The sequence below is a fragment of the Homo sapiens genome, chromosome 5 (genome assembly GCF_000001405.40).
Source record: "Homo sapiens chromosome 5, GRCh38.p14 Primary Assembly".
NCBI classification, from domain to species: Eukaryota; Metazoa; Chordata; class Mammalia; order Primates; family Hominidae; genus Homo; species Homo sapiens.
In genome coordinates, this window is record NC_000005.10 from 31,929,175 (window position 1) to 31,955,095 (window position 25,921).

At 44.4% G+C, this 25,921-nt stretch overlaps 1 protein-coding gene and 1 non-coding gene across 7 annotated transcripts in view; one reads left to right on the forward strand and one right to left on the reverse strand.

Moving 5' to 3' along the window:
- The window catches only part of PDZD2 (PDZ domain containing 2), a 471,802-nt gene that overhangs the window by 290,044 nt on the left and 155,837 nt on the right, over positions 1 to 25,921 (forward strand). The window lies entirely within an intron of this gene.
- On the reverse strand, positions 6,928 to 6,985 carry MIR4279 (microRNA 4279). Its single transcript, NR_036241.1, has one exon. It is a non-coding gene; the product is annotated as a microRNA 4279 (primary transcript).

A 25,921-nucleotide genomic window follows, 5' to 3' on the forward strand; every position in this document is an offset into this window, starting at 1 on the left:
TTGGCTCCAGACTCAGCGTCTGCTGTTGATTTTGTCCAACCTGCTTCTCTGATTCATTTAATTTTCTGCCCCCTGTCAGCATTTATGCTTGCAGCCCATAGAATGAAAGCAATCATGGTAATAATAAATGCAGTATAACCTTCTAAGAACCTGTGTCATGCTGTGTGCTACAGATCATTCTTTGTGGGAGGACTGTCTTGCATACCATCAAATGTTTAGCTGCATCTCTGGCCTCTGCCACTAGATGCCAGCAGCAATGCCCCACCCATCCTAGTTGTGACAGTTTAAAATATCTGCGGACAGTGCTAAATGTCTCCTGTGGGGCAATATCTTCCCCAGTTGAGAACCACTGGCATATGTGAAAGCACAGATACATGAAAAAGAGCAGTGGAAGGCCAGGCGCAGTGGCTCACGCCTGTAATCCCAGCACTTTGGGAGGCTGAGGCGGGTGGATCACCTGAGGTCGGGAGTTTGAAACCAGCCTGGCCAACACAGTGAAACCCCGTCTCTACAGAAAATACAGAAAAATCAGCCGGGTGTGGTGCTGGACATGTGTAATCCCAGCTACTCGGGAGGCTGAAAAAAAAAAGCAGCGGCTAGCATGACTATCTGTGGGTTTCATGATGCAGGCATTGATATAGTTTGCATGTTTGTCCCCTCCAAGTCTCCTGTTGAAATGGGATTTCCAACGCTGGGGGCTGGGGCCTGGTAGGAGGTGACTGGATCATGGGGGAGGATCCCCCGTGAATGGCTGAGCTCCAACCCTTTGGTGATAAGTGAGTTCTTGCTTAGTTAATGCGAGGTCAGGTTGTGCAAAGGTCTGGGACCTCTCCCCTCTAGCTCTCCTCGTGCCATGTGAAGTGCCTGCTTCTGCTCCCTTTTTGCCTTCTGCCACGAGTGAAAGCATTCTGAGGCCTCCCGAGAAGCCAGGCAGGTACAGGTACCATGCTTCCTGTACAACCTGCAGAACAGTGTGCCAGTTAAACCTCTTTTCTTTGTACATTACCCAGTCTCAGGTATTCTTTTTTTTTTTTTTTTTTTTTTTTTTTTGGAGACAGTCTCGCTCTGTCGCCCAGGCTGGGGTGCAGTGGCATGATCTCCGCTTACTGCAAGCTCTGCCTCCCGGGTTCACGCCATTCTCCTGCCTCAGTCTCCCAAGTAGCTGGGACTACACCACGCCCGGCTAATTTTTTTGTATTTTTAGTAGAGTTTCATGGGGTTTCACCATGTTAGCCAGGATGGTCTCGATCTCCTGACCTCGTGATCCGCCCGCCTCGGCCTCCCAAAGTGCTGGGATTACAGGCGTGAGCCACCGCGTCCGGCCAGGTATTTCCCTATAGTGACACAAAAGCCTGAATAACACAGGAATAGATGAAGAATGGTCTCAAATACGCATCAAGGTGTTTAGGCGTTATCCTTTGGACAACGAGAAATTATTTGAGTGTTTCAAGCAGATGTTATGTATTTGCCACTGGATACCTCTGTGTGCAGGATATACTTTAGGGGTAGACAACTGAGGAGGTGAGAGTAGTCTAGAGTCAAGGCCCTAAGGTGTGACTCAGTACAGCAGAAGGGGACCTCAAACTTGGCATGCCCTAAAAAACCCACTATGCGACCAGACGCGGTGGCTCAGGCCTGTAATCCCAGTACTTTGGGAGGCCAAGGCTAGTGGATCACTTGAGGTCAGGAGTGAGAGAGACTGAAGAAGTGGAGTTGACAGGACCTACCAGCAAGGGTGGAGGGGAGAGAGGAGCCAAGGGCGACTCAGTTGTGCTTCAGTGACAGGGAACTCATTGGCATGAGTTGGAAGAGGAGATACAGGAGGGGGAACCTGTCTGAGGGAGAGCATAATGGGATTGTTTATTTGAGGCAGGGTCTCACTCTTTTGCCCAGGCTGGGGTATAGTGGCGCGATCTCAGCTCACTGCAACCTCTGCCTCCTGGGTTCAAGCAATTCTCCTGTCTCAGCCTCTTGAGTAGCTGGGATTACAGGCACGTACCACCACACCTGGCTAATTTTTGTATTTTTAGTAGAGATGGGGTTTCACCATGTTGGCCAGGCTGGTTTCGAACGCCTGACATCAAGTGATCCACCTGCCTCAGCCTCCTGAGTAGCTGGGATGACAGGCGTACACCACTATGCCTGGCTAATTTTTGTATTTTTAGTAGAGACGGGGTTTCACCATGTTGGCCAGACTGGTTTCGAACTCCTGACATCAAGTGATCCACCTGCCTTGACCTCCCAAAGTACTGGAATTACAGGCGTGAGGCGCTGTGCCTGGCCGCATAGTAGATTTTTTAGGGCAGGCTGAGTTTGAGGTGGCTGCAGGACACCCAGCTGCAGCTGGGCAGGAGTTGAGGGTCTGAGCTCAGAAGAGAGATGGAGATTGAGGAGCTGGTGGCTCTTACTTGGTTGCTGTAGCTATGGAAGTAGATGGGATAATCCAGGTGACAGGAGGGAGGAACGAAGAAGCTGGTACCCCTCCAAGGCCCACCCTGGCCTGGCAGGAGGAATGAGACTGAAAAGGGGGCCAGAGAGCTGGAGGCAGCTCTGTCCACTAGAGGCTTATGGCTCATGGGACAGATTTGACAGCTAAGAAACAGATCTGTATACAATGAAGGCCCCAGAGCATGATGGTGTCAGTGTATGCTGCCGGCGTTGTGTGAGTTGAGGGTGTGTGAACTCCAGGAGGGCTGGATGGGAGGGGAGGGGTGGGCCACAGCCGCACGGAGCTTTCTCAGGTGTGATTCTGAACCCTTTCCATTAATGGCAGAAGTTGGAAGGGAGCTGCCTCCCCAAATTTGCAGGCCAAGGTCCTCCCCGCTTGCACAATTGGCAGGGTGTTCCCCATCAGTGCTGACATTATCATCTCCCATCAAGGGGCAGGAAAACAAACCTTGTTTGCTTTCATAACTTTCTGTGTGTGATTTTTGACTGGGGGATGGGAAAAGGGGAGAAGGAAATGTTAGTGCTTCCTGTTGTTTTTAAGACCATTTATGAATTGCATTTTATGGTCTTTTCATTTTGTGACATCAAGCATATGAAGCATGATAGCCATAGAACTGGCCAATGAGAAAATGTAAAGAAAACCAAACCGGGTGCAGTGGCTCATGCCTGTAATCCTTGTACTTTAGGAGGCCGAGGCAGGCAGATCACCTGAGGTCAGGAGTTCGAGACCAGCCTGGCCAACATGGTGAAACTCCGTCTCTACTAAAAATACAAAAATTAGCTAGGCGTGGTGGCGTGTGCCTGTAATCCCAGGTACCCGGGAGGCTGAGGCAGGAGAATCGCTGGAACCCAGGAGGCGGAGGCTGCAGTGAGCCAAGATTGCACCACTGCACTCCAGCCTGGGCGACAGAGCAAGACTCTGCCTCAAAAAAAGAAAGAAAGAAAGAAAGAAAGAAAGAAAATCCAGGCTCCATTGACTTCACACACTTAATATAAAAGTTCTCATTTTAATAAATTTAAATGTATAGTTTTGTGGCATTAAGTACATTCACACTGTTGTGTAACCATCACCACTATCCATCTCCAGAAGGCTTTTCCTCTTGCAAAACTGAAACTCTGGATCCATTAAGCAGTAACTTCCCATTCCTCCTCTCCCCAGCCCCTGGCAACCACCATTCTACTTTCTGTCTCTGTGAATTTTACTATTCTGAGTGCCTCATACGATTAAAATCATATAGGGTTTGTCCTTTTATAACTGGCTTATTTCACTTAGCATAGTGTCCTTTTTTTTTTTTTCTTGTTTTTAAGACAGAGTTTCGCTCTTGTTGCCCAGGCTGGAGTGCTATGGTGCAATCTCGGCTCACTGCAACCTCTGCCTCCAGGGTTCAAGTGATTCTCATGCCTCATCCTCCCGAGTAGCTGGGATTACAGATGTGTGCCACCACGCCTGGCCAATTTTTGTATTTTTAGTAGAGACGGGGTTTCACCATGTTGGCCAGGCTGGTCTCGAACTCCTGACCTCAAGTGATCCACCCACCTCGGTCTCCCAAAGTGCTAGGATTACAGGCCATGAGCCACTGCGCCCGGCCAGCATAGTTTCTTTTCAAAACTCATCCAAGTAGTAGCATGTGTCAGAATTTCCTTCCTTTTTACGGCTGAATAGTATTCCATTGTACATATGTATCACATTTTCTGTATCCATTCATCCATCAGTGGATGCTTAGATGGCTTCCACCTTTTGGTTATTGAGTGGACAGTGCTGCTACAAATATCGAGGGTGTGAATATCCATTCGTGTGTCTGCTTTCGGTTCTTGGGTTTATACCTGGGGTGTCCCTTGGCTTTTGCTGTATGATCGACTCCTGCTGGGGATTTCTGGGATTGCCCTCTTTGTTACCTTTCTGTTTTAGCTTCTGGGAGAATCTTAGGTGTGTCCCTAGGCTGGGCTTTGTGACCCGCTGGACAGCCATTACTGAGCCCCTGCCTACAAAGATCCACACCTTGTCCCCTTGGCACCATCTTAGAGTTTGAATCAGGAAGATTTACGTTGTAACCTCAGTACTTCCACTAATGTGCCCTGTGATGTTGGAAAGCTTCCTCATGTTCCTGTGGGCCTCTGTTTCCACACGAACGCAATGAGAAAGTAGAACTCAGTGATCTTCAGGGTCCCTCCCGGGTGATGGACAGTGAGTGCACAGTGGTCTCCTAAGCCCAGTGACCAAGGAACCAAGGTGGACACGAAGAAGGCAGAGCCCCAGATGCCTGTCATGGATAATGCAATTCAGAAACTTGGGTCGGTTAGGTGGCTTGTGTACTTGCTGAATTCTGGTGTATGCTACGTGGCTCGTTTTGTGAGTAAATGTAGCAGTAATTCCCCTTAAAGCAAAACTATATGTTATATATTATCCACCCTTCGTTGAGAGAATGGGACAAAGAGAGGCAGGATAACTGGTTTTACCATAGATTTTTGGCAGATGTCACCAACTAATACTGTCAGGAATATTTTATAGGCAAATTTTACCTCTTGTTAGGACTGCAGTTTGGTCACAGGCCAAGGCAATTTTAATCTTTTTCCCTCACTTCTTTTAAAAGAAAAAAAAGCTAAAGAGCAGACTTCCTTCTCCTTAGCTTGAACTGTGAGCAGGAGTCCACGCTTTCCTGAACTAGGAAGGTGAGTTCCAGGAAGTTACCCACACGATCAACTTTCAGGCCTCTTGAATGCACACAAAAAATGTGGACTTGCCTGGGGCTCCCTGCTGGTGTTTGGAGACTAGGAACTAATCCTCCCATTAGTTCTTTCTCTGCCGCACCAGGGAAACATCATATATACTAGTGACTTTCTGTCTTCTTTATCTCATCAGTAAAAGGCGGATCCTGTTTTTGTTTTCAAGAATGTGTTAGGGTATTGGGATGGCTAGAATCCATTTGGAGCACATGAGAAAATGTATAGCATTTTCTGTTTAGGAGACATTTGAACCATCTAATTAAAAAAAAAAAAAAAAAAAGACTTAAGTCCGGATACTAGACCACCAGTTTTTTAATACATGGAAAATTTAGAAGCAATTTCAAAAATGTCTCACTGTGACTGGAACTAGGTTATGTCAATACAAGGCTCCTAGGGGAAAAATTTATACTGGATAAAACTCTAAAATAAATGAATATACTAAAAAACACCAAAAATCTGGCCAGCAGTGGTGGCTCACACCTGTAATCCCAGAACTTTGGGAGGCCGAGATGGGCAGATCACTTGAGACCAGGAGTTTGAGACCAGCTTGACCAACATGGTGAAACCCCATCTCTACTAAAAATACAAAAAATATCTGGGCATGGTGGCGGGCGCCTGTAATCCCAGCTACTCCAGGAGGTTGAGGCAGGAGAATCTCTTGAACCCGGAAGATGGAGGTTGCAGTGGGCCGAGATTACTCCACTGCACTCCCACCTGGGCAACAGAGCCAGACCCTGTCTCAAAAAAAAAAAAAGAAAGAAAATAGAATGGCTGCAAGAAGTAAACAGAGGATGTTTGCTCCTATTTTGTTCCTTACAAGTATAGCTAACAAAGGACCTTGTGAGTATTGGAATAATAAAATGTCATTCCCATTTAAGTTGCACATGTACATTTTTATACCTGCACCAAAGGTTTTTGGAATCTTTGTCTCTGGCTGTTGGATCATGAAAGACCCCTTTGGCTTCAGCTGTAAAACAAGGCAAATTTTACCCATAATAGAAACTACTATATATGTGTGTTGGTTTAGGGAAGCCTATTTTTTAACATTCTATTTCCTGATAAAACCTTAGAAAAATCATATTGTGTTTAAAAGTTGAGGATTTTTTCAGCAACTCAAGGGCTGACTGATAATTTCTGGTTTTGCTAGTACTTGTCTACAATGGAAGTTGGAAGCTTAGTCGGAGTAGAAAAGTTGTAAATTTGGTGTCATCAAGACAAATGGCTTTTATTTCCCAACAGACTTCTTTATAAAATAATTTAACCCCTTGATTTTTGTTTGCATTTGGATGCAATTTAAAAAAAAATCTGGCCCTTTAATAAGTGCAAGACAGATTAAATGTATTGTGAAATATCAGGTCACTGAGTGGAAAGTTTCTTCACTGATCATCCTAGCTTCACATTTTTAGTTATGTGAAGTACACATTTTGATAGTATTTTGGTTTTCTCCTGCCTGAAATCTTCAGTCCTCCTCCCTGGCAGTCTGTAGAATGAAGCAGCTGTGGTCCGTGGCCAAGTGTGCGTCCTTTGGTGATGGAAGAGCTGATCTGCAGATACCTGCAGGAGGAAGCCATGCATGATGTCTGCTGGGATATGATTTCCCCCCATACTCCTGGAAAATTAGAACCGTTTATAGCAGCCTGGTTCCAATACACTGGCAGGGCAAGGATTGGCTCCTTCTCTTACAAACACAGCGTGGCTGGATGCATTCATAAATGAAAAATGATCTGAGTGCTGTGGGTGGGTGGGGCTCTGGAGCTCAGGAGGTGAAGCCGGGAGGAGAGAGAGAGAATCTGCTCCTCAGCTCCACAGAGCATGGGGAGCTGGCAGGAAGTTGGAGCACGCATGGCGCAGCTTGTATTTTTGTTGATAGTTAATAACCCAGGACTTTAAAGACCTGAATGGAGAAGGGAAGTGAAGCACAACCAACTTTGGAGTCTGTCCCATTCCAGAGGCTGCTGAAGCACAGCAGAGCACGCTCACCTGACCAGCTCATAAAGCAGGTAGGACGGGAGACCTGAGTGGTGAAGAGAATCACATTTTCTCTCTGAACACAACTTACAGGTCTTCCAAGGGTTTATTATTTTTTAATTATATGAGAGATGAGCAGGTAATAATAACATAAAAGACTCAGCTTGAATTGTGCTGATATCTGCCCAAGCAAGAGTTCTCTCAGTTACTAGTGTGATGACCAAATGACAGTTTTATTCTGAGAGTTGCTTTAAAAAAAAAAAAAGAAAAAAAGCATGCAGCATTGAAGCTTTTTTAATTTAAACTCATTTAAAAATTGGCAGATGATAAATGAACTGCAGACACTGTGTTTTAGAACAAATACTTTGAAGGGAGTCAACCAGAAACCGATTTTCAGGCTTGACTGTGGCTCCATTTTCATATTTCAGAGCCAACGAGGTGCTCACTAATTTTTGCTGGCTTTTGTAAGAAAGGAGGTGGATGTATAACAGCTGTGAAATATCCAGAAATTGACTGGGATCCAGAGTGAAGCCCGAATGCACTAATGTTTTCTCCATTAAGGCAGGCTGCCTCTGCTCGGCTTCTAAGTCAAGGGATTGGAAAGCAGTGTGAAAGTGAAGTGTGAATCCTGAATATTTGTCATGGAGTGGGGGGAGTGCAGAGGGTTGGAAACTGTCACAGTGACGTTTCACACTCAGAAGTAGAAAATAAATGGGGAGGACCATGGGTGGCAGCCACATGCAAGGATAATTTTAAAACTGATTTTTGATTCCCATGATTGTAGCCGAGTCTCAGGGTGTTCCTTCCGTTGTCAAGGTTTGGGGCTTGTGATAAGAGAAGTAGAACAGAATAAAGATCATCTCCAGCCCCAGGTTCTGAATCATTTCTAGGCCTTGCTTCTCCTGGGCACTGGGATGATCTGACATGTTTTCCCTCACTAATGAAGTGGCCAGGGTGTTGGGGGATTGGGCTAACATGGAGGAGGTTGGATAGAAATGGTGCGTGTGGTCAGCCTGAGAAGAACGTCAGAGGTAGGTGGAGAATTTTGTTTCGGTAGAATAGCCCAGCCTGAATCCTGGAACTGTTTGCGTTGAGGTTTGGAGAATGCCCCGTAGCCACAGGGGTGTGTCTGAAAAGGCAAAATTGGGAGCTGCTTGGGTTACTGCTTACTGCCTGGCTGGCATCCTCATGCTGTGGTCATCCTCATGCCGTGGTGGCCACGTTTTGTGGCTTTGCATTTTAGTCCTGGAGGGCTGGGGGATGGCTGTGTTTAGTCAAGCAAGCCCACACATCATTGCTAGTCTCTCTTTCCGTGTGATTTCTCAGCATTACACAGCTAGCCTTCTATGGGAGGAGGAACGGCACCTCCTGTGGTCTTTTAGAAAACTTTTTCACCCCATGTTCCTACCGTCGCCACCCCAACTCTTGTCCTTTCTTGCCTACTGTTCACCTGTTGTGTGTGTCCCCTTTGTCTCCCATCCTTCAGACTGATCTGTCCCAGGTGCTATCTGCAGTGACTTAGAAGCTGTGTTGGGGACAGGTTCCTTCCCAGGGTTCCTGCTGGAAGCGGTGTTCAGCAAGCTATGGCCCTTAGGCAAATCCAGACTGCCCTAGCCTGTTTTTGTATGGCCTGGGAGCTAAGAATGTGTTTTATGTTTTGAAGAGTTGAAGAAACAAAGAAGAATATAGGACAGAGATAGTGACCCACAAAGCCTATCCGATCTTTAGAAAAAAACATTTGCTGGTTTGCTGGTTGGTCTGTTGATTTCCGCCCCCATTTAGAGACAGAGTTTCACTCTGTTGGCCAGATTGGTGTCAAACTTTTGACCTCAAGTGATCTGCCCACCTCGGCCTCCCAAAGTGCTAGGATTACAGGTGTGAGCCACTGCTCCCAGCACTCCACCTTGACCTGTTGATTTTTTAATATCATTGGTGAATAATGTGATCAGTGGGTTGATGCAGCAAGTTAAGCCCTCAGCAATTTGAATGGGCTCTTGTTTGGGAAACTGATTTTAGTTTCTTAGTCTGTATTGGTGCCATCGCCTCCAAATGGGTAGATTCAGGAGTTAGGAAGTTGAAGCTTTTCTGCAGGGTCCCAACAATAGTAAAGAAATATTAGATGAACTATGTGCCTGTGGTTGGATTTTCACCCTCTTTCCTGGTTTATGAACCTGCTGGAAAAGACACCTATGAGTCCAGCCATGTATTGACTGTGTGCCCTACTGGAAGAACCCATTGGGGACCAAAACTCTGGTAATTCACACAAGTCATTCACTTCTTTCTCTTTTGCATACTGAATGCTGGCTAGACTTCCACAATCTGAGAGCATTTGGTGTTGCCACTTTGGAAAAAAAAAAGATGTTTTTTGCAATTATAAAAAAAAGACAGCTGAATACCATGTTTTCTCATATTTAGAACAATGTTTCTTTATTGCCCTCTAAGAAAGCTTACTGTAGGCCCTCCAACCTTACCTCTGAACATGCAGTGCTCCTCTACCCAGCACAGTATTTCATTGTTATGTCATTTCTAATAAAGGAAGAGGAAAATCTGGTGACCTTGTTCATGTTTAACTTGTGTCGAAACTTCAGGCCTCGGTATGGAGCCATCTTGTGTAAGTAGCTTTTTGTCCATTGCAGAAACACAGGAAAGCATCTCACAGGAGATTGTTGTTTACTACCGGGACATTTCAACCATCTTTCCTCCTATATTTGGAAATTGGATGTTGTCAGTAGAGAAGAATGGGGGTGGGGCCCAGTTTGACAAAACAAGTGAGGAAGGATGAAAATATGAAAAGTATGGCGCCCCACCAGAGGTAGGGCCTGGAAAACAAGATGGCGCCTGTACGCTTGATGAGCCAGGTTGTCAGAGCTGGGAGGGGTGGGTCCTTTAATCTACCATGGGAGCTGGGCAGCACTTTCGTATTTAGAAAAGGGGTTGGCTCTGAATTTAGAGATTAAGCAACCTGCTGTTCCTGTATGCACTGGAATTTCAGACACAGTCAGAAACCTGATTTGCGTAACTGCTGAAACTCAACTGGAAACCAACCAGACTGAGGTCTGGACTCCCCAGGCCAAGGGGCAGTTAGGAATCAGCACGTGAGAAAATGTATTAGGCTTGCCCAAGAGGGAGTGGTGCTGTGTGGCCAGATGCAGTGAGGCGGGCTGTGGGGTGAAGGGTTGGCTTTGGGTTCCCAGAAGGCTCAGGCTGGAGGGTGAGTAACCTCTTCCTCTGCATGGGTAGGCAGTGTGTGTCAGAATTCTAAAACTACCTGGTACCACATGGTAGCACGTGGGACCTTTTTGCTTCTGAGCCATGCAACCAAGCTGGCTCCTAAAGAGACAGAAACCACCAAAGTCTAGTCACTTTGGCGTGCAAGCCATGAGCAGCCCTTAACAAGCCAACTCATCTATACAATGTTGTGAGGGCTGAGTGTCCAGCCCAAAGCTGAAGCATCTGTCATCTCCCTTTGGCTATGGAAACAAGGCTGGAATCAGACATCTATTTATCATTTTTTTCCTTATGGTGAATAGAATCAAAGACCAAGCCAGACGTCTGCATATATGCACAAAGTGTATAAACCTAGAGGAGAGGAACAGCCAGACAAAATAAAAGTTATGATTCTGAATTCAAGAAAACTTGTGACCATGTCTATAAAAGGGAATCAATAATTTCGTGGCTCAGTGGCCAGCAGAGGATTCCTTTCTGTGGCTTTGTGTTTACATACAAGCTGTGCCCCTCTTAAGAGCTTTTGTAGGTGATATAGTCTCTCACTTCCAAACATGAGTTCTTCACATTACCTACGGTGGCACTGGGGGTGGAGCACAAGGTCCCTCATGCCATGGAGATCCCGACTGGAGCCCTGCCTTTCCTTGGTGACGGGGGAACAAGATAGCAACATTCTCCCTCCATGGACATGGCAACTGTTCCTTGCAGCAGGGCATACCCCTTTGTGACTTCTTCTGTTGTCTTTGCTGTCCCTTGTAGGCCCATCTGCCCAGATTGCCTTCGTTAAGCACATGGGTGCCTCACTGGATAGCCACACTGTGACTCCACAGATGGCCTCAGCAGGGCACATTGTCAGCCCTGCACCATGAGGTCCCTGTACCACGAGTCAGGCCATGACAGCTGTTGACTTGGGACTCTAGATCTGCCTTCCCTTTCTTTCAGGATCTCTTCCTGTAGAATCAACCCAACTATATTTTACATGCAGCAGAGGAACTTGGTCCTTAAAGAGACCAAAAGTGACTCATTGGTAGAAGAGAAGGATCACCCTATAGTCTGTATTTTTGGTAATTTTGAGGTTTGGGGGTTGTCAGGTAGCCTAAAGCCACATACACCCAGACCATCTCTTTGCCTTTCTCATTTCAACACTTCCCAAATTAGAAGATGGAAACCAAGTTGGAAATTGGCAGAGGAAGGTGAATCTGAGGAAGGCACGAAGTGGCCCTTGAGAATCCGTTTGGTAAAAAGTCTCTATTTCAGTGAGACACCTGAGACCGCAGGGGCAGAACATCAGTGCAGATGACTCCCAGTGAAGGGCAGATAAATGTTCTTGTGTTTATGTATTGTGTTTTTCCAAGGCTTGCCCTTTTAACAAAAACTTAAAATTCTTACAAACTCTCCTTCCCATCCCCATGCCCCCCCACCAAAAAAAAAGTGGTTCTGCAGTGAACAATTTAGATTTCCACACAAATCATAACAAAAATAGAAGACCACAAGCCATGAGGTGAGTGGCAGGAGATCCAAGGGTAGTGGAGCTGGTCTTCATTTGAATGGCACAAATCCCAGAATTCATCATGGTGCTCTTTAATGGAATAGCAACCTTTTGCTCTTGCCTTTTGCACCAACATTTCTGACCCTTTGGCAAAAGTGTTCATATTTTCTCTTGCTGGCCACTTCCACCAGCAAGAGGAGGATCTGCTTTCCAAGGAGCCCCATCTTTGAGTTGCCAAATTCCACCTTCGCCATGAGTTTGCAACACTTTGACTTCAGTTCCCAGACGACTGCCCATGGGATAGAGGCTTGACTTTTGGCAGTAAGCTGCTGGCTTTGGAAAATATCAAAGATATTTTATTGTAACAGATGCAAGACAGTTTTGGCAGGGGAGCAATAAAGACCTGGAGGGGAAACAGAAAATTACATCTAAGTGCTGCAGGAAAGAAGGTGGCAAAAATAAAGGATGCAGTTTGGATTTGTAAAGCTAAGTCCTTTGCACAATCTGTTTTACAGGCTAGAACTTGCTTGACTTCAGTTTATCCCTCAAGTGAGTCAAGGAATGTTAGAATGAAATGCTGAAGCTGTGAAATGTACGTACTTGGGGACAACTTGGCGTTTGAGGATGTTATTGGGGTCCCACTGGCCCATCCAAACTTTGTGTGATGAAAATCCTGCTGTTTTCATACTGCTGAGACATTAGATGCTCTTATGCCTGTGTCTAATTAGACATTTGTAACGAGTTTGTTAGGGTAATAGAAATTTAACTTCTCATCTTAAAAGTGAATGGATTCAGCCATTTCAGTAGAAGAAACATCAGTCTTCGCTATAGTCTCTGGTGGCTTCATTCATTACATTTGTTGCCACTGGGATTTCAAAATGGGGATAGAATCTGCTGTCAGTTTTAGTATGTGTTTTGTTTTTTAATTCTGTGGGTTCTTCATCTACTCCAGAAACAACCTCTGGGTCACTCTAAAACCTAAGCAGTCTTGAAGCCAGGATCTCAAACCTTGCAAGTTAGTCACTATTCTAGGCCACATCACAGTGAATGATATAGCACTGATTTTTAAAATCGTTTTTACTCTGTGATTTACTATGATAGACTCTTGTTATCCACAGATTGACTCTGAAATCTGTGAGGTTTCCTCTGCTTTCAACCTATTTTCTTTTTTATGGCCGTATCTAACATGATTAGCCCTGGAACCAAGATAGGTGGAGAACTAGGTCAAGATGATAATGCAACTGACTAGTCTTAGAATGTTCAGACTGCAAGGTTTAGAGATGTATTTTTTGGGTGACCAAACCTAGATAAAGAGAAGCTAAGTGTGAGTGCTATCCTTTGTGTGCTTATGGGCATGTGTGTGTGTGTGTGTGTGTCAGGGAGGGAGAAATGTAATTATTTCATGGCACTCACATGGACCTGGAGACATGGCTCTTTTTGAGCAAAACTTTTTTTTAAAGATACAAAGTTTCACTCTATTGCCCAAACTGGCATGCAGTGGTTCGATCCTAACTTGCTGTAACCTTGAACACCTGGGCTCAAGTAATCCTCCCGCCTCAGCTTCGCAATGTACTGAGATTATAGGCGTGAGCCACTGCACCCGGCCAAACAAAACTCTTTATGTAAGACTGCGTCTCAGTTTGTAGATCTGCCTTCTCTTTTGTAAACATGTGGTCCAAACACATTCACATGGTTTGTTTTTGTTAGAGAAATGCCTCATGGTGTCGTGACTACTTTTCGGTGAGAGTTCAAACCAGTGTCAGATGAACTCCCCAAGGTTGATGTGCTCAGTTCCATTTTGCTTTCATGGCACTTGGGTTGATGTGAGGGGAAAATAGCCTACAGAACAGTCTAAGATGCTTCGGATGTGTAGTTTTGAAATACAGAGACAAGGCCGGGCACGGTGACTCACGCCTGTAATCCCAGCACTTTGGGAGCCCAAGGCGGGTGGATCACCTGAGGTCAGGAGTTCGAGACCAGCCTGGCCAACATGGTGAAATCCCGTCTCTACCAAAAATACAAAAATCAGCTGGGCGTGGTGGCACGTGCCTGTAATCCCAGCTACTCCTGAGGCTGAGGCAGGAGAATCTCTTGAACATGGGAGGCGGTGGTTGCAGTGAGTCGAGATTGTGCCACTGCACTCCAGCCTGGGCAACAGAGCAAGACTGTGTCTCCAAAAAAAAAAAAATCAGAGACAAAATCGATTTTGGCTTTTCCTGAAAATGGATCTTATTTTGAGAACCACAGTTGACACGGCTGTGGGAAGTGTTGCTTATTCTTGGCAAGAAAACTACCCTGAAAAGGTGCTTATGATCCAGGAGACAGAAGCCTGCCCTAGGCACTCTGGCAGAGCTGGGGGAACCGTTCAGAACTCAGCATCAGTAGTTTGTAGTAAATCCACATTGGTATGGTAGGACCCACCCAGATGAAGAAGGCGCATCCTAAAAAGCGGGGTTATTTTAGTTACCCTGTGTAATGGTATTCAGAATGTAACATGGGAATGTACATTCGGAATGTAATATTTCTGCTTCAGAAATATTTAGAACCCAACCTAGAGGGTTTAATCCAAAGGACGTATTAAACACTTGCGTGCTTAGCTACGTAGAAGCCACAAGACACAAAGAAGCCGACGAGGCAAATGCAGTCGCTATCAGAGAAGGAAGTGATTTGACCAGCTTGTCCTCAAACTAAATCAGACAGAGAGACAGACAGATATAGGGCACAACACTCTCTTTATTCCTTTTGCGCAGGATCTTTAAACATCTGTCTATCTTAACCTGGATTCTATTAGTAGATTTCAGAGGGACTGTGAACCTAGAAGGGAAGAAAACTGAACTGTAGCTCAAATTTGGTATTTCCTTCAATAATGGATGTAGGCAACAAAGGACAGTAGTATTAGCAGTCCTTATGTCTTTGTCACCAGCACAAATGATATTCATTATTTGTAGCAGATAAATCCCAATATCATCTACAGTCATTACTACTTTGAGAATATGTCAGTTAGTCTGTTTAGCAACTATGTTGCTAGATCTTTGAATTCAGTGTAACAAGCACATGCAGGTTACTACATTACAAATCTTTAAACATTTAGGGTATTGTTTTTCCAGATAATTGGTTTTCTTTGTAATCCTATGCATTTTATACATTTAAAATATAATTTTTGAAACTTTACCAGGTAGCCAGAGAGTCTATGGCACAAAATAATGAGAGAAGGAAGAAAAGGAACCCTGTCTTAAGGGCTACCATTTGATATTTACTTAGATCTTCATTTACTGGGGAAAAAATAAGAGCCCAGGACAGCGTGGTATGTTCTAGCCTCTCCCCAGGTGACTGGGGGATCTTGATAAAATGCTGTAGGCCTGGAGTGGGGCCTGAGACCTCTGCTTTTCTAACAAATTCAAACAAATTCAGAATAGCCAGGCTGTAGCCTACAGCAATTCAGATAAGAACCTCTGTTTTCCAAACTCACTTCCTATAATTTTGATAAATCTTAGTTGTAGGTAGCTTAAGTATTCCAACATGTGGTTGTGAGAAGAGATGTTCCAGGAGAGGAAATGTGGGAAAATCCCAGAAGACAGACTTCGCCTGCTTCCAAGTGTGTATGTTGCCTCCTTTAGATCCCAGAGTAACTGCCCTGTTGGGGTGTTAATTAGGTGGAAGCTCAGGCTCTGGGAGAGGCTGCCAAGGTGGAGGGTGGGGTGGCAGCGTGTGCACGTGTGTCCCCAGGTGACTCTCTCATGGTGTGCATTCCCTGGGAAGCAGCTGCAGCTGCGCCTTGGAGGGGCCGCTTCCTGGCCTCATGGCCCATGTGCACCAGGTGAGCTGTGAGCTGAGCCGTGCGCAGCAGCTGCTTGCCTGTAGCCAATTACCTCAGCCCTGCTGGGTGCAGAAGAGGGCAGATTACCATCTGATCCCATACATGTGTGCGGACCAGATGCTCTGCGCTCAGGAGGATTGTGTATATGGCTTTCTTCTTTCCAGAAGGGAGATTTATTAAGTGTGTCATTGGATGATGCAAGTTGTATATCTTTGTAAGATTTTCATGGATGTTTGCAAGTGAGAGAAAGGTCCTTTGGCAGAGTATCAGGGAGTAAAAATGTCCCTGTACTTCCGCAGCCCAAGCAGCTCCAGAACCCCGAGATCTGACCGACTATGCCCTAATGGTGTGCTTTTGGCCTTGGTCAAACCACTTATGTCACAGGCCAACTGGTGGCTTCACAGGGTGGCGCTTATAAACAGAAATCCAATTTTGTGTGTTTATCAGAGGTTGTCAGCGGCCTGGAAACTGACTCATGCTAATCAAATTCCCAGGAGACTGGCATTGAGCATTCCAAAGCCAGGTTATTGATTCCTAGTGAAGGAGGGATTCTTCCACTGGCCAAAGATGTTATTGCCATCTCTTGTTTGTTTCTGCTATCTCGGTCCTATCTTCTGGGGAGAGAGGTGGTTGACTATGAGAACATCATGTGGAATATGTCTTAAGGAATGTTCTAGGATTCTAGATACAGCGTCCCCGTTAATGTAGAGGGCTGAACCACACCAAAATTCTGTCTTTGGGTTTGGCTTTACTAGATTCCCTTGAGAAACTCTCCCTCAACCCTGTTTTTCCCCCTTGTTCTCTTCCCTATGGGAACCCCCTAGGGTGTTCTGCCGCAGCTTTCATAGTTTCAGACTCTACCTGCCTGAGACCACATCGTCTTCCCTGGCTTGGATCCAGGTGCTTCCTGGGTCTCCTCCCCCAGGAAGAGTCTTTAAGGAGATGGGCATTAGGATGGGGACAGGTGCACAGCCATTATAGGGTGATCCTTACTATTTCTGCTATTCCTACTCTTCCTTTTTTCCTCTTTCTATTTCTACTCTTGAGGTAAACTCTCTGTAGCCCCAAGAGTGTTCATCTTAGCCTTGAGGAAGCACAGGTGGCACCTCATGACTGGAAGAATTCTCCCTGGCAAACATGCTGTTTTATTTTCATTTGTTTTTGTTTCTCTTTTTGAGATGGAGTCTCCCTCTGTCACCCAGGCTGGAGTGCAGTGGCACGATCCCGGCGCACTGCAACCTCTGCCTCTCAGGTTCAAGGGATTCTCCTGCCTCAACCTCTTGAGTAGCTAGGACTACAGGCGTGCGCCACCACACCTGGTTAATTCTTGCATTTTTAGTAGAGATGGGGTTTCACCATGTTGGCCAGACTGGCCTTGAACTCCTGACCTCAAGTGCTCTGCCTGCCTCGGCCTCCCAAAGTTCTGGGATTATAGACGTGAGTCACTGCGCCTGGCCAAACATGCTATTTTATACCAGTCTCTGCAGGAAGAGTCCCTATTAATTATCTGTGTTCTTGGTTCCCAAAATCTATTGTGTGAACCTGACTGCATCTCATGAGGCATTTCAGGAAATACAGATTGTTGGGCCCTCCGGCGGGTCTGGGTGGGGTCTAGAGTCATATTTGTAAAACATTCCTTGGGAATAGAGGAATTCCTTGGATTGTGCTCCCCGCCGCCATGTCAGAATGTTTTTATGGCACTGCTGTCCTACCACCAGTGAGTGATAGATGATTAGGAGGTCCCTTATTTATACTTGTTTGCTTAAATCTTTACCGAACAACTGTCATTTTACAAAGCAGTCCTTTTTTTCTTCAAAGGAAAGGCTCCATAGATTATTCTTTTTGTTTCGTTTTGTTTTTTGTTAAGAAACGGTATCGCTCTGTTGCCCAGGTTGGAGTGCACTGGTGCAATGATAGCTCACTGTAACCTTGAACTTCTGGGCTCAAGCAATCCTCCCACCTTATTTTCATTTGTTTCCCAAGTAGCTGCGAGTACAGATACACACCACCACTGGCTAGTTTTTAAAAATATTTTTTGTAGAGACATGGGTCTTAACGACATTGCCCAGGCTGGTTTTGAACTCCTGGCCTCAAGAGATCCTCTCACTTCTCCCTCCCAAAGTGTTGGGATTACAAGCATGGGCCACCATTTCCGGCTAAGATGGTTCTTTTGATCAGTCAAATTTGGAAACCACCACTGTAGACCTGGTATCCCAGACTCAGAGCCCTGATTTTATGGATGAGGAAACTAAGGCCTCAAGAAAGAACGGGCTAACTGGTATCAAGGGTGCCCCTCGGTTTAGAGGGACAATATACAAAGGTACATTGGATCTACAAAGACCAGAGTCTACAAAGACCAGGTTCTATGTGTACTCTCTGGTTGTTGATGAAATCCACTATTCTAAGCCCCGGGGGCCTTGTTTCTGGGCTGTCGCGTTAGAATGGCCATGATGAAATGCCCATGTATGCAGGGTACAGAAACAAATTTAACCTGAGCATCCTTTCTCAGTTCTAGACTAAAACTTGAGTGACGTCAACCATCCTGATGCTTCCACAGCTGACAGGCCCCTGGAATGCCCCAGGTGCCCCGCCTCTTCAGTAAACCATTTCATCCTTCAGTGCCTCAACTTCACCGTCTATAAAATAAAGATAAATCTATCTGTGCTACCTCCCTTACAAAGTTGATATGAAAATCAAATGAAACATAAGCCAGGTGTGGTGGCTCATTCCTGTAATCCCAGCAGTTTGGGAAGCTGAAGCAGTTAGATTGCTTGAGCCCAGGAATTCAAGACCAGCTTAAAAATTTTTTAAAAATGCAAAAATTAGCTGGGCGTGGTGGCACAAGCCTGTGGTCCCAGCTACTCAGGAGGTTGGGGCTGGAAAATCGCTTAAACCTGGGAGGTGGAGGTTGCAGTGAGCCAAGTTGGCACCACTGCATTCCAGCCTGGAGGATAGAGTGTGACCTGGTCTATGCGTCTGTTGGTGGGGGGTGGTGGATGGGGACAGTGAGAGAGAGAAAGAGAGAGAGAAGTAGGGGAGGGAAAGAGAGGGAAGGAAGGCCAAGCGAACAATGTATGTGAAGGGCTTTGGGAAAGAAAGTGCCAAGCATTATATAAACTTTAAGGGTGGTCTCATTATCATCATCCCTATTATATATTATCTCCAGAGATTTTACATGTCTGCTGAGTGGCTCCAAACAGAATCAGTACAGGTGGAAGAAATACTTTATTATAACCCAATGAAAGGTTACTTGGGAGGAGTCAGGATTTCCATAGAAGTACATCACTTCTGAATTTCCTGAAGTAGCTCTAATGGCCCATTAGTGAATCATTTCACACCCTCTGCCCTTTTTGTGGTGGCTTTCCAGCTATGCTCCAGAGTTCGGAGTTGTTTGGGCGAGCAAGCTGGGACATGTAAGTCAGAGGATGTTTTTTTGTCTGCTCAGGGGCGAGGGCTGTCTTTGATACCTCTGCTGCTGCCGTAGATGGTGCAGATGCTCCAAGATTTGTCATTTTGAGAATGGCAGGCTTTTCGACCTTGTTTTCCAGACTAGATTAAGAACCAGACAGATTTTAATATCTGTAAAGAGTTTCTGCAACTGTTCCAGCAAAGAGATATCCCTAGAACAGATAAAGCTTTCTTTTCCTCCCCTGGAAATGATAGAGCTTGAGAACAACAGAACTCAGTCTGTGGTATAATAATTAACCTTAATGATCTTAAGTACCAACGAGGTCTCCATAGAGTTGCTTAAAGAAAACATACAGATTTGCAGACATAAGGTATAAAAAGAGAAAAATAAAATACGAGAAATTCTAATAAAAGGAGTATGTGATTTAATGATATGATGTAAATGGCCTGTGCTTCCTGGAGGGTACTTCTGGCTCTGAGGTCATGTGATTCTGTAACAGTCCCAGCTTTGAATGGTTGGGTGGAGTAGGTGAGAGAACCACTTATATATATAAATTGTTTTAGGCTGGGTGTGGTGGCTCATGCCTGTAATCCCAGCACTTTGGGAGGCCAAGGAGGGTGGATCGCCTGAGGTTAGGAGTTGAAGACCAGCCTGGCCAACATGGTGAAACCCTATCTTTACTAAAAATACAAAAATTAGCTGGGAGTAGTGGCAAGCGCCTGTAATCCCAGCTACTCGGAGGCTGAGGCAGGAGAATTGCTTGAACCCAGGAGGCGGAGGTTGCACTGAGCTGAGATGGAGCCACTGCCCTTCTGCCTGGGTGACAGAGTGAGACTCTGTCTCAAAAAAAAAAAAAAAAAAAAAAAAAATAGTGTTCCTGGCTGGCTTCTTCTCACCCCCACTCCCATCCCTAGATTTATTATTACAGAATCTTGGAGCAGTAGAAGGAAGATAGAGAATCTCATTTTTTTTTTAAGTTCTTCACGTGCAACCAACGTTAGGAAGTATGCAACTTTCTAAGAACTTCATCCTCATGTGTGACCCAAGGACAATGTAAAATAGCACTTCAAACCCCAGTTCCCCAAATTCATGCACTTCTAACAACTGGAGTTTGAGATATGCAACAGAAAACAATTCTGGCTCATTTAAGCAGGAAAGAAATTTAGTGACAGAATTTTGGAAAGCTCACAGATACCAAATATCTTCTGCCCTTTAATCTTTTTCTCATTGGTACTAGTTCTGTTACCTGTGGCACCCTGAAGTGGTCTACCCCATTCTTCTTGTTCATATATTTTTTGTATGAAACCATCATATCCTATCCCATACCCCATCCTCCACCCAGATTGTGTTCTTCGGGGTTAAGCACCTTAGTCTCTTCAGCTGCTCATCGTAAGATAGCATTGCCATTTTTAGCTTTTTTTTTTTTTTTTTTTAACAAGACGGAATCTTGCTCTGTCGCTCAGGCTGGAGTGTGGTGGTGCGATCTCAGCTCACTGCAACCTCTGCCTCCCGGGTTCAAGCAATTATCCTGCCTCAGCCTCCCAAGTAGCTGGGATTACAGGCATGCGCTACCACACCAGCTAATTTTTTTTTTTTTTTTTTAATTTTTAGTAGAGATGGCGTTTCACCATGTTGGCCAGGCTGGTCTCAAACTCCTGACCTTGTGATCCTCCCACCTTGGCCTCCCAAAGTGCTGGGATTACAGGCGTGAGCCACCATGCCCGGCTGCCATTTTTAAATTTTAATGCCAGAACTGCATCAGATTCTCTATATGCAGTCTTATCCAGAAGAGGCTTATTACCTCCTCCGGTGATGTGGACAGTTGACTTCTCTTAATGCAGTCAAAGATTGCAGTGCCTTTGTAGTTGGCTCTGTCATGAACTTAAGTTGACCATCTATGAGACCCCATAGGTTGTGCCTGAAACTATGTAGACTTGTTCAGAATATCCTGTGGGATCAGATTCTGATCCACGAGCCTGGGCCCATGATCCTGGCACTAGCATTCTACGCTGTTAACTTGGTTTGCTTGAGAGAATCTCCCCATGGCCCTGTGGAAGGACTGAGAAGGTGAGTTGTAGATTGCTGGAAAAATGAAAAGCTCTAACCAATGAGGAAGGCTGGATTTTATATACTTTATTTTCATTAAGTGGATCCTCATTCCTAAGCAAATAACTGACGTGCTCTTGTTGGATAGAAGATGGTATGGGAAGACAGGGTGAGGATTGGTTTGCATTTTGAGTTGAGTATTTTTTTATTATTATTAAGTCAGGTTTATTGAGATATAATTTGTTTACTCTTCATCATGATAAATTTTCCCCAATTCCAGAAGAAATTAAATGGAGTTACATTCACAGTACAAAATTGAGATATTATACTAAAGTAAGAAGCTAAAGGAAGACCTCTTTAGTTGTACCAGTCTGTAAATTGTGGCAAACACAAGTCTTGTGAATTACCACCACACTCAAGACAGAGAACCATTTCCTCACCCTTGAAAGTATCCCCCATAGTCATCTTTTTCCTAATCCCCAGTCTCTGGCAACCATGATATATACTCTCTTCCTATTTTGCCTTTTTCAGGATGTCATATAAATGGAATCTTAGTCTGCTTGGATGTCTATTAAAAAATACCTTAGACTGGGTTGTTGATAAACAACAGAAATTTATTGCTCACAGTTCTGGAGGCTGCAAAGTCCAAGATCAAGGCACCGGCAGATTCAGTGTCTGGTGTGGGTCCTGTTCCTCATAGATGGCACCTTCTTGCTGTACCTGCACATGGTGGAAGGGGCAGATAAGCTCCCTCAGGCTTGTTCTTTCTTTTCTTTTCTTTTTTGAGATCCAGTCTCACTCTGTCTCCCAAACTGGAGAGCAGTGGCGCCATCACAGCTCACTGCAGTCTCAACCTCCCGTGCTCAAGTGATCCTCCCACCCACAGCCTCCCTGGTAGCCGGGATTACACGTGTACAGCACCACACCCAGCTAATTTTTAAATTTTTTTAAGAAACAGGGTCTCACTTTGTTGCCCAGAATGAACTCAAACTCCTGGGTTCCAGTGATCCTCCTGCCTCAGCCTCTCAAAATAGTGGATCTACAGGGTTGAGCCACTGCACCTGGCCTTCAGGCTTCTTATGTAAGGGTTCTACTCTCATTCACGAGGTTCTCTAATCTCATGGCCTAATGACCTCTCAAAGGCTCGACCTCTTAATACTATCACATTGGGGATTAAGTTTCAACATAAGAATTTGGGGAGACACAAACATTGAGTCCACAGCAGAATCATACAGTTTGTAGCTATTTGAATCTTCTTTCACTTAGCATAATGGATTGAGTCATCCATGTTGTTTCATGTTTCAGTAATCCATTCCTTTTAATTGCTGAATAGTATTCCTTTGTATACATGTGCCACAGTTGGTTTATCTGTTTGCTCTTAGAACGTGCTGTTACATCAGGTAGAAGTTCGCGTAGTGTCTCATGAAAGAGAGGTTTTGTGCCCTTTCTCTCAGAAAAATACGGTGAATTGGACAAAGAAACTTTTGCTCTTGTATGTGATCACTGCATTCCAGTCATGCTAGATTGTCATCTCCTAAAGCTTTGGAAAAAAAGTATGAAAAGTAAAGTATTTGAAAAAGAGTATGTATGTTTTCTTTTTCTTTGCCCGCAAGCGTCAGCACTAGATTTTTGTCTATTTTTTGTTTTTGTCTTAGATTTTTGTCTATTTTGAATACAGATCTTATTTCTCTCTCTCATTACACTTTGAAACAGGTTTAAACCTTTTTGGGTTTTGTTCTGTTTAAAGAAAGATCTGGTCAGTATCTCTAAAGAAAATCTGTCACTATTTTATGTCTTTATTAAATTGTAATTATTACATAAATAGGGATGCCAGAATTAAACTCTTTTTAAGTACTGTTTTCAGTTTAAAGTTGGACTTGTTCCACTGTCTGTGGTCATAATTTTGAGATATCCATGCCAAGAGATACATCATAAACACTGCATTCTGAAATGCAGGTTAGAGTGGAGAAAGGGATATCATAGCAGACAGTGATTTGAAATAATTATGTGATGGGAATGTCTGAATTTGTAATCTCTGTATCCCTTTGATTTATGATCTGGTAAAAGTAACATTAGAAGAAAATCTTGGATTTCAGAACCTCAGTTGAAAACTTTTGGGATGCTGATTACAGCATAAAAATGTACTTTAAAGATTCAAAAGTGACCACTGGGGCTGGCTAAGTGAATTATTTGTTTGCTTATTAATGGGGCCAACCTTAACTTATTGCATTCTTAAGTAAAGAACAGTAGCTCAGATTATGTATCTACAACCATAGTTCCTGTAGCTAATAAATGGACCCTGCAGACATTCTTTTAAGGACACCAGATTCTACTGTCTTCCTTTCCTATCTATAAATAAATACAGTTTCCATCAAATCTGAAAAAGAATTTATTTGGAACTTGAACAAATCAACTAAAATTCATATAAAAGAGGGGAAAGTGAGTGAATAAGAAATATTTGAAAAATAAGAATAGCAGCCCAGGCACGGTGGCTCATGCCTGTAATCCCAGCACTTTGGGAGGCCAAGGCAGGTGGATCACCTGAGGTCAGGAATTAGAGACCAGCCTGGCCAACATGGTGAAACCCTGTCTCTACTAAAATACAAAATTAGCCAGGTGTGGTGGTGCACACCTGTAGTCCCAGCTACTTGGTAGGCAGAGACAGGAGAATTGCTTGAACCTGGGAGGCAGAGGCTGCAGTGAGTCATGATCGTGCCACTGTACTCCAGCATGGGCAAGACAGAGTGAGACTCCATCTCAAAAAAAAAAAAAAAAAAGAAAGAAAAATAAGAATAAAGAGGGGTTCTCACCAGACAGCAAACTGTACTTTAAAGTTCTAGTAATTAAAAGAGTGTGGCATAGGAACTGACACACAGATCAGTGGAACAGAATAGGGAATCCCAAATTGGCCCATATGGGACAGGAAATTTTATATATGGAGAGGAAGTATTTCAAAAGCAGAAGATGAAAGACAGTCTGTTTAGTAAATTGTATTGAAATAATTGCCTAAAACTTTGGGAAAAAAGTATAAAGTTAAATCCTACACACAAAATTCCAGATGAGATAAAAATAGCTAAACATAAAATCTGTGAAAATATTAGAAGAAAATAGGATATTTTTATTATCTAGAGTGGCTAAGCCTCCTGAAGTAAGACTATCAGTGCAGGAAGTCATAAAGGAAAAGATAAACTAAACCGATGTGTGCTAATACATCACAAAAAATAAAAGTTGAGACCTGGCATGGTGGCTCTCACTTGTAATCCCTACACTTTAGGAGACCAAGATGAGAGGATTGCTTGAGCCCAGGAGTTCAAGATCAGCCTGGGCAACATAGCAAGACCCTGTCTCTTAAAAAAAAAATTTTTTTTTTTTTTTGAGACAGTCTCAATCTGTTGCCAGGCTGGAGTGCAGTGGCACAATCTCGGCTCACCGCAACCTCTGCCTCCCAGGTTGAAGCAATTCTGCCTCAGCCTCCCGAGTAGCTGGGACTACAGGCATGTGCCACCATACCCAGCTAATTTTTGTATTTTTAGTAGAGATGGGTTTCACCATGTTGGCCAGGGTGGTCTTGATCTCTTGACCTCATCATCCGCCCACCTCGGCCTCCCAAAGTGCTGGGATTACAGGTGTGAGCCATCGCACCTGGCTAAAAAAATTTGTTTTTAATTAGCCAGGCATGGTGTCTCTAGGTTATAGTCCTAGCTGCTCTGGAGGCGGAGACAGAAGGATCACTTGAGTTCAGGAGTTCAAGGTTATAGTGTGATATGATCGTGCCACTGCCTTCCAGCCTGGGCAACAGAGTGAGACACTGTCCCTGTCTCTTAAAAAAAAAAAGTGACAGGAATGGTTTTGCGAGTGGTGTGAAGGAGTAACTTGGACATTTTACTCAGTCTGCTTCTCCACCACATGAGTTTTGTTTTTTGTTTTTTACAAGAATGTATTTACAAATTGCATGATTGCATGATTTCCTCAACGTTCTTGCCGTAGTACATAAACCATGGTTAACACTCATAAATTATAGAAGCTATTATTATTTTTAAACTGCTTTCCTCACAGTGATTCATATTTAGAAAATGTGTCTCCATGTCTAAATGTGTTTTTGTAAAATTTTCTTATGGTTTGAATAGCATTGCCAATTTGTTGTTGTGGTTGATACCCTGCTTTTTTCTGCCATTCCTCATTACTGCTCAGTGCAGAGGGTAAAAGATTTAATTATATTATTAAATGCATTGTGACTATTGGCTTTGGAAGAGTCAGGGACACGAGGTTACAAAAGTACCATGAACCCTCTTCAAGGTGTACACAGTCTTGTTTGACATTATGTTCCCATAAAAACCACTAAGAGGGGCTGGGCACAGTGACTCACACCTGTAATCCTACCACTTTGGGAGACCGAGGCAGGCGGATCACGAGGTCAGGAGATCGAGACCATCCTGGCTAACATGGTGAAACCCCGTCTCTACTAAAAATACAAAGAAAAACAAAATTAGCCGGGCGTGGTGGTGCATGCCTGTAATCCTAGCTGCTCGGGAAGCTGGGGCAGGAGAATCGCTTGAAACCCGGGAGGCGAAGGTTGCAGTGAGCCGAGATCGCGCCATTGCACTCCAGCCTGGGGGACAGAGAGAGACTCTGTCTCAAAAAAAACAACCACTAGGGAACAATTTGAGAAAGTTTTCTCTCAAGTGCCAAATTGAGTGTAATCATATCCCCGCCGGGGTTGAGCACTGGAGCATCCCCAAGCCCCGTACCCTGTGGAACGTCTAGAGAGGACCTGTCTCTAGGAGCTGGGAAGAAA